Source organism: Homo sapiens, chromosome 4 (genome assembly GCF_000001405.40).
Source record: "Homo sapiens chromosome 4, GRCh38.p14 Primary Assembly".
NCBI lineage: Eukaryota > Metazoa > Chordata > Mammalia > Primates > Hominidae > Homo > Homo sapiens.
In genome coordinates this window covers 2,113,430-2,131,048 of record NC_000004.12, presented here as the reverse complement: position 1 = coordinate 2,131,048, position 17,619 = coordinate 2,113,430, and the positions used below count along the sequence as shown (strand labels likewise).

Below are 17,619 nucleotides of genomic sequence, written 5' to 3'. Positions count from 1 at the left end.
CATACTTGGCTAATTTGTATGTGTGTGTATTTTTTGTGGAGATGAGGCTTTGCCATATTGTCAAGGCTGGTCTCAAACTCTTGGGCGCAAGTGATCCTCCCACCTTGGCCTCCCAAAGTGCTGGGATTACAGGTGTGAGCCAGTGTGCCCTTTTTAACATTTTTTAAAAAGTTACTTGTCATTGATTTTCTATATAACTAACTGCTTCACCTTCCTGAAGTTCTCTGTATTTGCATGACCAGGATTTAAACATACATTGAAAGAATGAAAAACAGCTAAAGTGATATGGTACCTCCCTGTTAGCAGTTTACAAGTGGAAATGGATGATAATTATATCAGGAAAGCAGCTTTCCTCCTGCCATCTCTCCCCCACCAGCCTCCCAATAAAGAAAAAACAAACATATAATAGCACTGGTGCTTATTAAAGTTTGAACATTACTGGAAATGTTTATAAAAGCACACTAACACTCTTAAAAAGAGTTTAAGAGCTCATTAAAAAGCACATGAACACTCTTCTTTCTTTTAAGCTATTCTGCTGTGATGCTGATGGGTACATTTCTAAAAAAGAAAAAGTTCAAATCTGAGCAAATGAGAGTTCTGCTGCCCATGCCCTGTACACGTCCTACCCTTGGCAGTGGCGCTCCTGCCCCTGTGCTGGGGGCCCTGCTGTGCAGGAAGGTCCTGGCAAAACAATGAAGCCCAATGAGCAGTCTTGTCTTGTCCTCTTCTCTCCCCTCCCCTCCCCTCCCCTCCCCTCTCCTCCCCTCTCCTCCCCTCTCCTCTCCTCTTCTGTTTTCTTTTTTGAGACAGAGTCTCGCTCTGTTGCCCAGGCTGGAGTGCAGTGTTGTGATCTCAGCTCACTGCATCCTCCGCCTCCTGGGTTCTCCTGCCTCAGCCTCCCTAGTAGCTGGGATTACAGGCATGCACCATTACGGCCAGCTAATTTTTTGTATTTTTAGTAGAGATAGGGTTTCACCATGTTGCCCAGGCTGGTCTCAAACTCCTGGGCTCAAGTGATCTTCCCATCTCGGCCTCTCAAAGTGCTGGGATTACAGGTGTGAGCCAGTGCTCCCCGCCCCAATGAGCAGTCCTTTCTAAAATACATGTGACTGTCCTGAAATAGGGTCCAAGGAGAGGGATCCTGAGCAGCTTCATCCCCTGCTGCCCCTTCCCACATAGACCTTCAATCAGTGAGGCTCAGAGAGTTTCAAGATTGCTTTTACTGGAATGCATTTGGTTGTCAACGTTTGACTTTTTCTTTTCTTCATTAAGAATTCTAGACAGAACAGAAAATTAAAAAAAACAGAAAACCTAGTTAACTTTCAGTAGTAATATGTTATTTTTAAATTACATTAATAAGGCCAGGCGCCATGGCTCACACCTGTAATCTTAGCACTTTGAGAGGCCAAGGCAGGAGGATTGCTTAAGTCTGAGAGTTTGAGACCAGCCTGGGCAACATAGTGAGACCCTGTCTCTACAAGAAATTTTAAAATCAGCTGGTCATGGCAGTGTGCACCTGTAGTCCCAGCTGCTTTGGGAAGCTGAGGCAGGAGTATTGCTTAAGCCCTGGAGTGCGAGGCTGCAGTGAGCTATGATTGTGCCACTGCACTCCAGCCTGGGCAACAAAGTGAGACCCCCATCTCTAAAATAATTAAATTAATAAAAATATTCGGAAAAATTTAAAATCTTAACTCTGGACTTCAGAATAATATTCAAATAATATTGTATTGAGGAATAGCTATGCATCAGTTCATGACCAAATTCACTAAATGCTCTTGAAATAACAATTCAGGTAAAGAAGACAAGATTCTCACGATCTCCCCGAGGGCCATGTTTGTTTCATCCAAAGGCCACACCTTTCTAGCAGCAGGTACGTTGCTGTAGCTTGCTTTATGCATTTTCATAGGGTTCAAAGGTTTAGAAATTGAACAATTCAAAGGTACTTATGGAATTCATTCTTTCAAATAAATTCTTTTTTTTTTTTTTTTTTTTGAGACAAGAGTCTCGCTTTTGTGGCCCAGGCTGGAGTGCAGTGGCATGATCTTGACTCACTGCAACCTCTGCCTCCTGGGTTCAAGCAATTCTCCTGCCTCAACCTCCCAAGTAACTGGGGTTACAGGCATGTGCCACCATGCCTGGCTAGTTTTTGTATTTTTAGTAGGGACAGGGTTTCACTGTGTTGGTTGGGCTGGTCTCGAACTCCTGACCTCAGGTGATCCACCTGCCTTGGCCTCCCAAAGTGCTGGGATTACAGGCATAAGCCACTGCGGCTGGCCTCTTTCAAATAAATTCTAAGGCACAGTACATAATAACAAGTTTTTCTTGCAGTGTCCCGTCACATCACCGTATCTAAATCCCAGATACCTTTGGCCCTGCCCCCGTGCTTTGTCTGCCCTGCTCGCTGCGGCCTTGCCGGACCCTACTCCTCCCAGCTAAGAGTCAGCTCCACTCCAGGCCCTTGCCCAGGCCATTCCTCTTCCCCAGAGACCATCTTGGTGCCCTCCTTTGCCACCTCCGTGCCTTTACTCAATGTCACTTTGTTGATGGGGCCTATAAATAGGATAACTGGTCATCCTATTTATCACAACTCCCCTCCACGCACACATTCTCACTCACTCCTGAGCCTCCTCACCTTGCACAATCCTCCCCATTTCATTTCTCACCTCCTGACACTGAGGTCAGAGGACCCTGGGAGATGGGAGGCAGGGACATGGACCTTGAGGCTACAGAGTCAGGAGAGTCTGAGGGTGGCCGGGGTGCGCAGCAAACACGAGGAACATTGCTGGCAAACTCTAAATTAATGCAGAACTGTATCTCACAGACTTTTCACAGATTGAATTGCGCATTCTTACACATTTATCTGGAGATCCGGAACTTCTGAAGTTATTCCAGGAATCTGAAAGAGATGATGTATTTTCTACTCTGACTTCACAGTGGTAAGATATATGAACTCACAATATTATCAGATCTGCAGGAAGGCCAACATGAGTTTAAAAGCCTGGAATTATTCCAAGGCTACTTTCATAAGGCAGAAATTATATTTTTTGTGGCTAATAGCTAATCATTTTGAAAAGAAGAGTAGATAACTAGGATGCCATGAGTTACCTAATTGTGAAGGAAGTGATGGTTCTTCCCCACTAAAAAAAAGAAGTCCATTCCTAGAGAATGTAATAGAAATGATAAAATAACCAGCGAGTCCCGCGCCCTGCAGGCGAGCACCACGGAAAGAGCGAGCCCGCGGTGCTGGCTGTGAGCCACTGCCCTCCGAGGAGAGCCAAGGTGCTTGCTGCGTACTCACGCCCCAGCCCATCTGTGGGCCAGGGGCTTCTTGAGCTGCGGGTGAAAGATCCTGCCTGAGTGGCTTACACTCACAGAGAATTCCAGAGGCAGATGGGCTCGGGTTTTGTTGGGCAGCTTGGCAGTGTCGTCCCAGGCCCGTCCTTTTTCATCATATTCTCAGGACGTTGGCTTCTCTTCCTCCTGGTGGAATACCTGCTCCGGTCTCCAAAGCAGGATGGAGAGACGGGTGCAAGGCTCTCTCTCACCCCTCTCCTCTGCCCAGGAAAGTCAAGGTGCTCTTGGAGAGCCCGGTGCAGACAACAGCTATACCCACTTTCTAGAGCAGGTCATGCAGCTGCACCAGCTGCAAGGGAGGTGGAGAGATTATACTCCAGAAAAAAGGAGGAGTGGATTATTGTGTTTGGCTTATACATCACAGGTGTTCACCGGGCCGGGTGCATCAGTGCCCCTTTGAGGAAGGGGAGGGGGAAGTGTGTGCTGGCTGTTGGAAGGTCCGTGTGTCTGAGTCACTGTCCCCTCCCTCATCAGCTGCAGGTGCCACCTCCCCATCACCTTGGGCCTCTTCTGCTCCCCCTACGGCCCCCTCACCCCTCCCTATGGCCCCCTCACCCCTCCCTACCCTCCGTCCCAGCTCATCTCCTGCCACCTGTTCACCCTCACGATGTCACACAGAAAGGCTGCCCAGCACCTGGGGGTGGGAGATGAGGAAGCAGATCATGGGGATCGGAGAAGTCAGAGGAGCAGAGTCCTAAGCGGGTGAGGGGTCTGTCCTTCAGCCCCTCACTAGGCCGGCCCCCTGCACTCCCCTCCCCATGCGCTGTCTCCGCCTCTGTCTTTGCTGAAGGCGGGGGACCTGCGAGGGCTCTGGCTGCTCTCTGGCCTGGTTGCCACCCACTCTCCTGGTGCTCCCTCTTCAGCTGCCCTGGCTAGGCCTGAGCTCACCAGTTACCCGCCTCACTCTGGCCTTTCCTGTCCTGGGGCTCAGGAAGCTCTTTCCCCGAATGTCCGTGTGTCTCCCTCCCCTACCTCATCCAAGTGGGCCCTCCCGGCGTCTCCTCAGGGCCCTCCCCTGACCACCCTCCCCTGATGCTGGGCACGGCGCCGCTCCTCTCTGGTCTCCACTCCTCTCTGGTCTCCACTCCTCTCTGGTCTCCGCTTCTCTCTGGTCTCCGCTCCTCTCTGGTCTCTGCTCCTCTCTGGTCCGATGCACATTCCCATGTATTGCTCTACTGTCCATCCTGCTGCAGCGACAGCGCCCAGGGGCCGAGACCTCATCCACCCTCGTCCCTACTGTGCTCCACAAAGGGTGGGGACTCACAAAGGATTTGTCAAATAAATGAATGAATAGTATAGAACGCAAACTTGCGTTTGAATCAGAAAATCTCTCCAAAAAGGCTACCACCACAGGACTCTTACTTGAATGACAAAATTCAGGAAGAAATATTTTATATACGGGGAGCAGAGGATTGAGAATGTTACTCTACACTCACCTGGACTTTGGAGTAGCTGTGAAATTGTGTTTATGGTGACAGCAGGGAAAGTGACAAAAGCAAAGAATAATGAAGTGTTTGCCCAGCACAGGAAGAGGCACTGTACCGGGTCGATGTGACGAGCACAGCACATGGTGGGGTCCAGGGCACCAGGAGCCAAGGCCAGCTTTTGGGCACTGGAGTCCTGCCTCCCACCCAGTATGCAGGGCATCCTCTTGTCGTTCTCTCCTGTCCTCTGTCCTCCTCCTTAGACCCTGCACCTTACCCTCTGTGACCCTGTCCTTTCACATGAGTGGCCTCCACCCCAATCGGGGCCCACTCTAGGACTCCAAGCTCTCCACCTCTCAATGCCCATATCTGCACTGGGTCCTCGCTGGCCTCACTCACAGCTCTGCCAGTGGCCTTCCTCCTGGCATCTCTGTCCAGGTCTGTCACTTAGCCAGTCTTGCCTGCACCCCACTGAGCTCCAAAAGCACTGAGACCCAGTCAGCTCCAGCTCCTCCTGGGCACTCAGGAAAGGTCGCAGGATGGATCCCGGGACACACATAGACCCATTGTTATCTCCGCTCAGCCCATCAGCTGCCCCCTTAGGAAGCTGTGTTCCTCTGACTTCTCCCTGCTCTCTGGTTTCCAGCCCTGAGTGATCCCCATTATTTACTTGCTCACCTCTTACCCCACCCCAGGTGCTGGCGGAAGTTGCAAGGTGGTGGCAGCTGAGTCCACTAGAAATTCAGGCCATGTGGACTGAGAGAAGCCCTTAATATTCTTGACTTCCTGTCTTCTCTTGTTGCTCCAGACTTTTTTGATCTTCCACAAATAACTACTATTCTCTCTTAATCTCCAAAAAGAACCCCCGCTCTTACTTAAGTGACAAAGTAGAAGGCCTAAGACAGGGGCTCCTGAACTCCCTTCCACCCCACCTCACTGTCTCCGTATACCCTCCTCCCCCTCTCCAATGGCTCCTGTCTCAAAGGAGGGAGCTTCTCTGTTGCCAGGATAAGAACTGCAGTGCACATCTCCAGGAGTCGCCACATGTCTAGACCTGTGTGCCTGGCTCCTCCTACAGCTGTGCAGTGCACAACCAGCCCAGCCTTACATGGCAGCCTTCATCCATGTTCCTTTTATTTTCCATTTTTACTCTAGCATTGTTAACATATCCTTTGTTGATTTCCTCGTTCCCCTCTACTGGGGGACAAAAAACCTGCTTTAGGATTGCCCTAAATATAACCCTAGAAAGAAATCCTATCTTCAACCTGGTTGAAGACCTCATTTATTGCTTAGGTACAAAAGAAATCTATACTTACTCCCTTTACTTTCTCACTGCCAGCTCTTTCTTGCTTCTTAAAACAAACTTTCATTTTACCTACATAGGCGTTTATTTGTATTTGAAGCCTGGAGCTCCTCACATCTAAGACAATGATCGCCTCCAGGATGTGCCTGGCTCCGAGGTCCAGGGCCAGCAACAGCAACGAGGACCCCACCCCCAGCAAGGGACAAGTCAAAGCCTCCACAGGGTCTTTGTGGGTGTGCAGCATCCCTGGGCCCTGCCTGTCCCGGTGCTTTCTCCTGGTCTCTGTGCCCCCGCTCCTGGGAAAACATCCTTCTCCTAAGCTCTCACCATCTTTTAAAATCAAGATATAATTCACAGACCATAAAATTCACCTTTTTAATGTTACAATTGGCCTGGCACAGTGGCGCATGCCCATAATCCCAGTATTTGGGGAGGCAAAGAGGAGAGGATCACTTGAGGCCAGGAGTTTGAGACCAGCCTGGGCAACATGGCAAGACTCCCATCTCTACAAAAAAAATTTTTTTTTAAATTAGCCGGATGAGGTGGCACACGCCTATCCTGTAGTCCTGGCTGCTTGGGAGGCTAAGGAGAGAGGATTGCTTGAGCCCAGGTTGAGGCTGCAGTGAGCTATGATTACACCACTGCACTCCGCCTCGACAGAGCAAGAACCTGTCTCTCAAAAAATAAAGTTACAATCACGACTATCTAATTCCAGAACATTTCGATCACCCCAAAAAGAAAACTCATGCCCATTAACCACCACTCCCAATTCACCCCGCCTCCCGGCCCTGGAAACCACTCATCTACTTTCTGTCTCTAGATTTACCTATTCTGGACACTTCACATTAATGAAATTGTACAACATGGAACCTTTTGTATCTGGCTTCTTTTGCTGAACATAGTATTTTCAAGGTTTATCCATGCTGTAGGAGCTAACAGTACTTCATTCCTTTTTAAGGCTGAAAAATACTCTATTATATGGAATAATATATTCTATATATTTCAATATAAATAAGCAAATAATCCGTGTATTTATCTATTCATCAAATGTCCTTTGATGGACATTTGGGTTGTTTCCACTTTTTGTCAATTATGAACAATGCATTATGCACATTTGTATACAGGTTTGGTTTTGGTTTTGGCTTCGGTTTTGGTTTTTTTTTGAGACAAGGTTACACTCTGTCCCCTAGGCTGGAGAGCAGAGGCACGATCTTGGCTCACTGCAACCTCTGCCTCCCAGGTTTGAGTGATTCTCCAGCCTTACCTCCCAAGTAGCTGGGACCACAGGTACATGCCACCATGCCTGGCTGAATTTTTTTTTCTTTTTTTTTTTTTTTTTTTTTGAGACAGGGTCTCACCCTGTCGCCCAGACTGGAGAGCAGTGGTGCAATCTTGGCTCACTTCAACCTCCGTCTCCCAGGATCAAGCGATTCCTGCCTCAGCCTCCCGAGTAGCTGGGATTACAGGTATGCGCCACTACCACCCAGCTAATTTTTGTAATTTTAGTAGTGAGAGGGTTCCACTATGTTGGCCAGGCTGGTCTTGAACTCCTGACCTCAAATGATCCACCTGCCTCGGCCTCCCAAAGTGCTGGGATTACAGGTGTGAGCCACTGCACCCAGCCTAATTTTTGTATTCTTAGTAGAGATGAGGTTTCGCCATGTTGGCCAGGCTGGTCTCAAATTCCTGATTACAAAGCAACCTACCTGCCTCAGCCTCCCAAAGTGCTGAGATTACAGGTGTGAACCACCACGCCCAGCTGAGGTTTGGTTTGGTTTGGTTTGGTTTGGTTTGGTTTCTGAGATAAGATCTTGATCTGTTACCCTTAGTGGGAATGCAGTGGCTCACTCCCACTCACAGCTCACTGCAGCCTCAACCGCTTGCTGGACTCAAGCAATCCTCCTGCCTCAGCCTCCTGAGTACCTGAGACCACAGGCACATGCCAGCATGCCTGGCTAGATTTTTTTTTTTCTTTTTGGTAGAGGCTCTGTCTTCCTATGTTGCCTAGGCTGGCCTCAAACTCCTGGGCTCAAGCAATCCTCCCTCCTTGGCCTCCCAAAGTGCTGGGATTACAGGTGTGAGCTACCGCCCCTGGTCTGTGTGCAAGTTTTTGTGCAGACATACATTTAAATTTCTCCTGAGTGTATACCTAGGAGTAGACATGCTGGGTCATAAAATAATTCTATGTTTAACTTTTTTTCATTGTGGTAAAATACCCATCCCATAAAATTTACCATCTTAATCATTTAAAATGTGCAGTTCAGTGGTACCCATATTTAACTTTTCCATGACCTGCTAAACAATTTTCCAAAAATGCTGCACCATTTTACATTCCCACAGGTGTGTGGGGTTCAAGTTTCTCTGCATTCTCACCAATACTTTGTATTACCTGTCTTTTTGATTCTAGCCATCCTGGTGAGTGTGAAGTGGTATCTCATTGAGCTTTGACTTGCATTTCCTTGATGGGGATGGATGTTGAGCACGGTTTTGTGGGCTCATCATTTACTCTCTGTCCCTGCCCCTCCTCTACCTCTGAACACAGGTGCACCCTGGGGTGTTTTACTTGCCTCCCTTTCTCTGTGTCCCTCCTCCCAGAAGGTGTCCTTTTTTCTCACTTTCGCTTTCCTTCCAGTTAAGATATAAGACAATATAGAATTTTTAAAGTATGTAATAAATTTAATAACACCCCTGCTCTCTCTCCAGAGGTATGGGAAGTCTTAGAAGATGGTTTTAGTTCAGGCAGGAAGACTATTTTGCCTCTTGGTTTGAGCTTTGTTGCCACCTTAGTGCTTGGATGGAATAGGTGTCCTGGATTTCCTACCTTAGAACGTGTGAGAGGATCTCTGCGATTCAAGGCAAGTGTTGGTGATTAGATCACGAGCATGTTACTTTCTTCAGTGGGCCCAAAGCTGCTCTGGCTGTTGCTAACCAAGTATTACAGCAAAGCATTTTTGTCAAAGTACTGGGAAAAGGATATGGGTAAAGTGGGAAAAGTATAGCACGAAATGCTTACATTAGAAATCAGGAAAGATCTCAAGTCAAAAGTTTCTATCTCAAGAAACTTGAAAAAGAAGAGCAAAAGAAACCCAAAGCAAGCAGAAGGAATGAAGTAATAAACAGCAGAAATCAATGAAATTGACAATAGGAAAACAATAGAGGAAATTGGTAAAAAAAAAAGTTAGCTCTTTGAAAAATCAGCAAAATTGATAAACTCTAACAAGGATGACAAAAAATGAAAATAGATGATGTAAATCATCAATATCAGGAATGAAATAGGAGATATATCCATAGATTCTGCAGACATCAAAAGGTTAAAAAGGGAATACTATAACAATTCAACAATTTAGAAGAAATGCACCAATTTCTTGAAAACCACAAACTACCAAAATCTAACTAAGATGAAATAGATAACCTAAATATTCCTATAACTATTTAAGAAATTGAGTTTGTCCCTTAAAATTTCCTGAAAAAGAAACCCTCAGGCTCAGATGGCTTCCCTGGATATATATATATATTTTTTTTTTTTTTTTTTTGAGACAGAGTCTCGCTCTGTCACCCAGGCTGGAGTGTAGTGGCGCAATCTTGGCTCACTGCAACCTCCGCTTCCCAGGTTCAAGAGATTCTCCTGCCTCAGCCTCCGGAGTAGCTGGGATTACAGACATCTGCCACCATGCCCAGCTAATTTTTGTATTTTTAGTAGAGATGGGGTTTCAGCATGTTGGCCAGCCTGGCCTCGAGCTCCTGACCTCAAGCAATCCACCTGCCTCCGCCTCCCAGAGTGCTAGGATTACAGGCATGAGCTACCACACCCAGCCCCAATAGCATATTTTAATGGTGAAAGAATGCCTTCCCCCTAAGATCAGGAACAACTTATTAATATTGCATATTGAAGTTCTAGCCACTGCACAAGATAAAAAAAGGAAATGACATATAGATTGGAAAGGAAGAAATAAAACTGTCCCTCTTAGCAGATGACATGATTGTCTATGTGCAAAATCCCAAGGAACAGACAAAAAGAATTGTTTTTTAACTCTTAGAACTAATAAGTAAGTTCACCAAGGTTGCAAGACCTAAAATCAGCTCACAAAAATTGGTCACATTTATATAAATTGACAATGGACATGCAGAAATCAAAATTAAAAACACAATGTCATTAATAATCACTCCAAAGATGGCCAGGCACAGTGGCTCACACCTGTAATCCCAGCACTTTGGGAAGCCAAGGTGGGTGGATCACCTGAGGTCAGGAGTTCGAGACCAGCATGGCCAACATGATGAAACCCCATCTCTACTAAAAATACAAAAAATTAGCCGGTTGTAGTGATGAGCGCCTGTAATCCCAATTATTCGAGAGACTGAGACAGGAGAATCACTTGAACCCGGGAGATGGAGGTTGCAGTGATCTGAGATCGCGCCACTACACTCCAGCCTGGGTGACAGAGCGAGACTCTGTCTCAAAAAAAAAAAATCACTCTATAGATAATAAAGTACTTAAATTTCAGTTAACAAAACATGTATAAGATCTATATGCCTAAAAGTATAAAATGCTGATGAAAGGAATCAAAGAATTCAAGAGAAATACCATGTTCGGGGTATGGAAGACTCAACATACAAATAATGTCAATTCTCCCAAAATTGGTCCATAGGTTTATAGTGCAATTCCTATTAAAACCCAAACAAGGTTTTTGTAGACATGGACAAGCTTAGTCTAAAATGTATATGAAAAGGCACAGGGCTTAGAATAACTAAAACAGTTTTGAAGAAAATAAAATGGGAGGAATCACCCCACCTGATATTAAAACTTTATATATATAGTAATCAAGAGAGTGTGGTGCTGACAGAAGGATAGGCACCTTCTGATCAATGGAACAGAAAAGAGAAACCAGAAATAGACCCACACAAATATGCTTAACCGATTTTTGACAAAGTTGTAATGTATTAGGAAATAATTCTCTTCAGATTTGTGTCAAGCTGAGCACTCATAAAGCCAACTTGAAAAGTTCATATCTACATTGAATATAGCATATGTCTTCCCTGCATTTTATTAGCTTGTATTAGTTCTTGGGAGAACTTCAAAAATAAGAAGCTTTTAGTATTTGCATGGTGGTTACTTCTAATTCCCCATCAGCAATAGTAATCCAACATTCGTGACTTATACTATAATTAGTTGCTGTGGAAATAATTTTTATGTTCCAAGCAGAGGACTAGAATAGCATGTGGTAAAAAAGCAGCAAGATCAAATACACTCTTAAAAATGTTTATTTCATGTAAATGCCTTATTGTTTGAAACACAAAAAGCAAAAAGGCAATTTGATGTTATATTCTGAAATACTTAGTAACGTTTTCAAAGAATAACAATTTCCTTGAAAAACCTTTAAGCTTATATAAATGGAGTTAGGAAGAAATCAAAGAAATCAACTATAAAGCCACAATTTGAGAGACTGGTGCTGAGACCCACAGAGCTGGGATTTGCCCAGGGAATGCACATCAGACAGGACCTCAGAGCTGATTACTGCAGCTCCAGCAGCTTCACACACACACGTGTGCACACACATGCACACACACACAAGCAAAAGACACAGCCATTATGCACTTCGGGGTCCAAGACATGCCATTAAGGCGCCTTCTTCAAGGAACCATCACGTCTTTGGCTCATTAGGTGAATTCCTAAAAGTTTTATAAAATGCAAATACAAAACAATTCTTATCAGCTGTGCATTCAACTCAGCATTTTCAGACTGAAACTTAGAAGAACTTTTAACTGCAGAATATGTTCATTTTTTCTTCTGCTTAAGATGGTTTTGGAGTGCTTCTCTGAGACTGTCTCTACTTGCCAATGACATGATTGTCAATATAGAAAATTCCAAGGAATATACAGAAAAAGTACAGGCAAGTGTGGAAGACAGTATTGCTGTCTGTGGCTCCCTGTCCAGGGAAGATGGTGCTTCCGTACCTGGTAGGGGTCAGACTTGGCCATGTGACTTGCCAATGGAACATGAGTAAAAGTGACATGTCACTCCTAAGCAAGACTTTAAGAGTCTGCACGTGGTTCCTCTTCATCTCTTTCCCTCTATTACAACTGCTGGTAAAATTTTTGATAGAGGTTGCTCCATCATCTTGCATTGTAAATGGTGGACCAACCTGTGATGGAAGGTAGTGAGGATGAGAAATAAACCATTCTTGCTGTAAGGCAGTGAGGGTTGGGAGTGACTTCTCATGGTAGCATAACCTGGCCTATCGTGGCATCTGCAGGAACTGCACTGTAAGATGCTATTAAAAAATCCTGAAATGTGTGGCACTGGCTTCAGGGCCAGGGCAGGCAGTGAGGAGATGCTTACTGGAGGATGAAGGATGGCACTTGGTAAATGGTATAACATTTGGTAAAACTGTCACCTGTGATAACTTGTAAGGCAAATAATATCCCTAATGAGCTTGCGGCTTTAGGCAGAGATGGGCCAACAGAATGCTAGAACGTGCTTTGAGCTATGTCTACATGTGACAAGGTATTATAAGTAAGAGACAAACTCAGAAAAGAATTGGCCTATGTACAAGTAGGAATGAAAGTGAAGAATGAGATTCCTGAAAGTTGGAGTCTTGCACATTTAAATATATCGATGATTCTCATGTCCAGCCAGTAAAAGAAAAATCTGAAAAGGCCTGTGAGCAACAAAGGCCAATTAAAACACAGAAATCAAAGATGTGGCCTCAATACCTACTGCCAACACACCAGAAAGAATTAGGCTGACACCCCAAAATCCTTACAGTTGGGCAACATAGCTCTGGCAAAAAGAGAGTAAAAAAGGGTAAAAGTTTGTGGCTCTCCCCTATGCTCCTGATAAACTCAAGGTACCTGCAGTGAAGTCTAGACAAAGGATACATCTCTCCAAATTAACTGTGGGTGTGTCTGTTGGTGCATAGATAGAGCTGACTAAAGTCAAATAGGTAAGAAGCTGTTCACATTTGTAAGAGTTGTACTGCCCAAAGAACCACCCATCTGGGCTCAAAGGGACTGATTACCTGAAACTTAAAGCAACCCTTGGGCTCCAGGTCTTCTATAGGCAGGAAACAGCCTGGGAAATACGCTCATTCCCCAAGGAAAGCAAATTCTTCACTGCTCTCTTACATGTAACCAAGAAAGGTAATGGAAAAGGAAGTCCCAGAAAGTGGAGCAAAAGGCCATGGAGAACAATGGACTAGGAAGATACTCCCAAGGGAGCAGATTAAGGGCCTAATCCAGGACCTTTGCCCAAGCCTAGAGAAGACCTCCCTCAACACCTACCCAGTCAGGATTCAGAGCTGCCATGGGCCGGTGACTGCTGTGTGTCTCACATTCTTCCCCTTTCCAAATGGAGTGTTTATTGTGGCTGTCCTGTCCCTGTCCCACCATTGCATAGCACATTTATGGGGTGACAGACTTGCCTTCTTAGTTCATTAGTCTCCAGATCAAAGGGGCCACATCATGTCCTGATATAAGGATGATCACAAAATCCTGGACTTCCAGCCTGCTGCCCTGATAAGATGAAATTTTGGATTGTCACCCATGGTGAGGGGATAAATATATTCTGTGTGTACAAGGGGGAGAAAAGCAAATATTTGTAATCAAAAAGGTCACAAACAGACTGTATTATTATTAAAAAATATTTATTACCCCTCCCTAAATGAAGAGTATACTTCCTCATCCCACTGACTCAGGGTTAGCCACGTGGCTTGCTTCAGCCAGTGATGTGAATGGAAATGACGTGTATCACTGCTGGATAGAAAACTTAAGAGCCAACACATGGTTCCCATTTTATCTTCTTCTTCTGCCATGACAACCACCAGTGACCCAGATGTAGTCTGGGCCACAATCCCGAATCACAGAAAGCAATGACATGGAACAGAGCTGCAGTGGACCTGTAATGGACATGTTGCATGAATAAGAAATAAACCCTGGTTTTGTGTAAGCCTTTGAGCATAACTTAGGCTGTCCTTACCGTATAGCACAGGTGCAACTATTTGTTTTGTCAGTATTTGGGTATGTCTTCATTAAAAATGAAATCAAATCCCACTTTCTGTCTGCTTCATTAAAGAGTTTTGCTAGGCGTCTGAGTCAGCAGATTTGTGTTGCAGAGAATATGTGCCCTCTAGGTACTCTAGACTGACTTTCAGAGGCCATTTGAGAAGTCTTCTGCCTGGAAGGCCAAGAACAACTTTGGAAGGGAGCTCTGTTGGAATGCCATGAATGGGTGCAGAAAAGTCCCTTCGTGACCTTATAGTTTGGGGTCCTGGGTCACACTGCCACATGGTAGAGGAGCCAAGTTTGCAGGCCACTTGCCCTTGCAAGGCAACAAGAGTTCCCCTACATCTTTCTCTGTATGCACACCCTATCCTATACTAGATTAGATGTTCTGAAACATGGATTTGGGTTTTTTTTTTTTAATTGGTAATTCATGAGAAGAAGGATTAATTTCTAGTTAAGCTGGAAAAAACCATGAGACATTCGTTGTAACTCTAACAATCAAACCAAAATGAACTACAAAATCAGTTTTCTGAACTTCTCAGAGAGCTGGTGATATAGCTAAGTGAACAGAACTCCAGAAAGCGATGAGCTTTTCATAGAAAAGAAAAAACCATGGATTTTCTCATGCCTAGGGAAGGAGAGGATGAGGAGGAATCTTCCATAGATGAGGGAAGAAGAAACCAGCTGAACTTTTAATTAACATGTGGGTTGGTGTGACAGATTAGAATTCTAAAGAGCCCCAGCTCCAGAGCACATCCATTTATCAACTTGCCCACAAGTCTTTCCAGAGTGTCTAGGGACAGACATCAAAGCTGGGGGCAGGGTAGGAGAGCTGAGAGAAGAAATCAACTAAGGTATTTCAGACCTTCAGCTGCAAAGAGCTGGAATAAGGCAGAAAAACCAGGAGAAACTCCTCCAGGCCTTTTGGAAGGGAAAAAAATCAAGGTGCAGAAAGCTGGAATGGGATGGGACTAGAGGGCAAAGTGAACCCGAAAAGCTGGCAGCTGGTCTGAAACACATGGGTCTCCTATCGTCTGAAAAGCTGACAGCTAAGCTATAAAACTCCAAGAAATCCTGAAATTGTGCAGTTCTTAGACTCCGGACCCCACAGAAGGGAAAATTCTGATCCCATTCACAAAACATTTCAAACCAGTAGTGAACTGAATCAAAACTAGAGTTGCAATGAAGTCCAGACCCAGCCCAGTTACGGGTCAGATTGACTTTGCTTCCAAATCTAGTGGCTTGACATAAGAAGTGGTGTGTCCTTTTTAGGAAATAAATATTGACTTCAGTCTCTACCATTCTTTTATGCAAAATATCTAGCATATAATAATTTTTCTAAGTTATGAGACCTAAGAAGAAGCAAGAACATGTGACTGTGACCAAGAGAGTAAGTAGCCAATGGAAATCAACAAAGGAGATATCTGGCCCAGGTATTGGGACTTTCAGAAGAGACTTTTAAAAATTATGATTAAAATGCTAATATGTCTCAGATGAATAGATGATATGTATTAAGAGTTGATAAATTTCAATAGAGAAGTGAAAACTACATAGGGGAATCAAATAGATTGGAAGAGATGAAAAATACTACATCAAAAAAGAGGCCGGGCACAGTGGCTCATGCCTGTAATCCTAACACTTTGGGAGGCTGAGGCAGGCAGATCACTTGAGGTTAGGAGTTCGAAACCAGCCTGGCCAACATGGTGAAACCCCATCTCTACTAAAACTACAAAAAAAAAAATATATATATATATATATATAGCTGTGGTGGTGGACACCTGTAATCCCAGCTACTGGGGAGGCTGAGGCAGGAGATTGCTGGAACCAGGGAGGTGGAGGGGTTGCAGTGAGCCAAGATCACACCATTGCAGTCCAGCCTGAGCTACAGAGCGAGACTCCATCTCAAAAAACAAACAAAAACTAAAGAACCCATTAGATCAGCTTCACAGGAGATAAGATTTCACCATAGGAAAGAATCCATGAACCTGAAGACAGGCCAATAGAAAGTGTCCAAAATGAGATACAAAGGAAAAAAAAAGTGGAAGCCCTCCCCCCAAAGAATCCAAGATCTGTGCAACAATATCAGATGGACTAACTTATGTATATTTGGCATCTCACAAGCAGAAGAGAGAGAATAAGGTAAAAGAAATATTGGAAGGTATGATGGCTGAGAATTTTCCAAAATTGATTAAAGATGTCAATCTACGTATCCAAAAATCTCACCAAATCCCAAATGGGTTAAATGCAAAGAACACAACACATTAGACAATGTAAAATCAAGCTAATGAAAACCAAAGATAAAATCTTGAAAGCCATCTGAGGACAAAAGACACATCATGTGTATACAAAGGAACAACAATACAAATTAAAGCTGACTTTTTACCAGGCACAGTGGAGGCCAGAAGATGATGGAATAACTTCCTTCAAGTGCTGAAACACTTAGAGAATGTAGAATATAGAACTCTGTATCCAGAAAATTGTCTTTCAAAAATTAATGCAAAAGATACATTTTCAGATATATAAAATCCAAAGGAATGTGTCTTAGTAGACCTGCACTACTAGAAATGGTAAAAGAGGTTCTTCAGGCTGAAGAGAAATTATACCACATAAAACCCTGGATCTTCAGGAAGAAAGAGCACCAGAATGGGTAAATATCAGGGTAAATATTTTTTAAATTTTATCTTTATTTTACATAGTTTATTTTATATATTTTTATATAGTTCTGTATGTAGTTTATATATAGTTCTGAATTATTCAAAAGACTATTAGCAGGCTGGGCACGGTGGCTCATGCCTGTAATCCCAGCACTTTCAGAGGCTAAGGTGGGAGGGTCACTTGAGTCCAGGAGTTCAAGACTTGCCTTGGAAACATGAAGAAACACCATCTCTACAAAAAATACAAAAATTAGCTGAGCATGACGTGTGTGCCTATAGTGCAGGCTACTTGGGAGGCTGACATGGGAGGATCACCTGAGCCCAGGAGGTTGAGGCTGCAGTGAGCTGTGATCGCACCATTGCACTTCAGACTGGGTGACAGAGTGAGAATCTGTGTCAAAAAAAAAAGACATTATTATTATTATTATTATTATTATTATTATTATTATTATTATTTTGAAATGGAGTCTTGCTCTGTCACCCAGGCCAGCACGCAAAGGCACAATCTCAGCTCACTGCAACCTCCGCCTCCTGGGTTCAAGCAATTCTCCTGCCTCAGCCTCTCAAGTAGCTGGGATTACAGGCATGTACCACCACGCCTGGCTAATATTTGGATTTTTAGTAGAGATGGGGTTTCTCCATGTTGGCCAGGCTGGCCTCAAACTCCTGACCTCAGGTGATCTACCTGCCTTGGCCTCCCAAAGTGCTGGGATTACAGGCATGAGCCACCATGCCCAGCCATTTTTTTTTTTGAAAAAGGTTTATAGCATAGATAGAAGTAAAATGTAAGACATCAAAAGTACAGAGGAGAAAGGGGAATTATACTATTATAAAGTACTTACGCTGTCCCTGAAATATTATAATGGCATGTAAAGATAGATTGTGA

At 44.3% G+C, this 17,619-nt stretch overlaps 1 protein-coding gene across 1 annotated transcript in view, besides 2 other annotated features; it reads left to right on the top strand.

Annotated features, from left to right (window-relative positions):
* POLN (DNA polymerase nu) overlaps positions 1-17,619 on the top strand; it is a 170,204-nt gene that overhangs the window by 111,073 nt on the left and 41,512 nt on the right. Inside the window, exons 18-19 of the mRNA NM_181808.4 lie at positions 1,793-1,870; positions 2,822-2,936. Coding sequence (NP_861524.2) covers positions 1,793-1,870; positions 2,822-2,936 — 193 coding nt within the window. The remainder of the gene's footprint in view (positions 1-1,792; positions 1,871-2,821; positions 2,937-17,619) is intronic.
* Positions 3,503-4,209: an enhancer, noted in NCBI's record as "H3K4me1 hESC enhancer chr4:2128567-2129273 (GRCh37/hg19 assembly coordinates)". NCBI's record gives its function as "activates a minimal SCP1, AML or CMV promoter by ChIP-STARR-seq in naive and primed H9 embryonic stem cells {active_cell/tissue: H9 hESC(naive and primed)}" and the evidence as "EXISTENCE:reporter gene assay evidence [ECO:0000049][PMID:30033119]".
* Positions 4,210-4,915: an enhancer, noted in NCBI's record as "H3K4me1 hESC enhancer chr4:2127861-2128566 (GRCh37/hg19 assembly coordinates)". NCBI's record gives its function as "activates a minimal SCP1, AML or CMV promoter by ChIP-STARR-seq in naive H9 embryonic stem cells {active_cell/tissue: H9 hESC(naive)}" and the evidence as "EXISTENCE:reporter gene assay evidence [ECO:0000049][PMID:30033119]".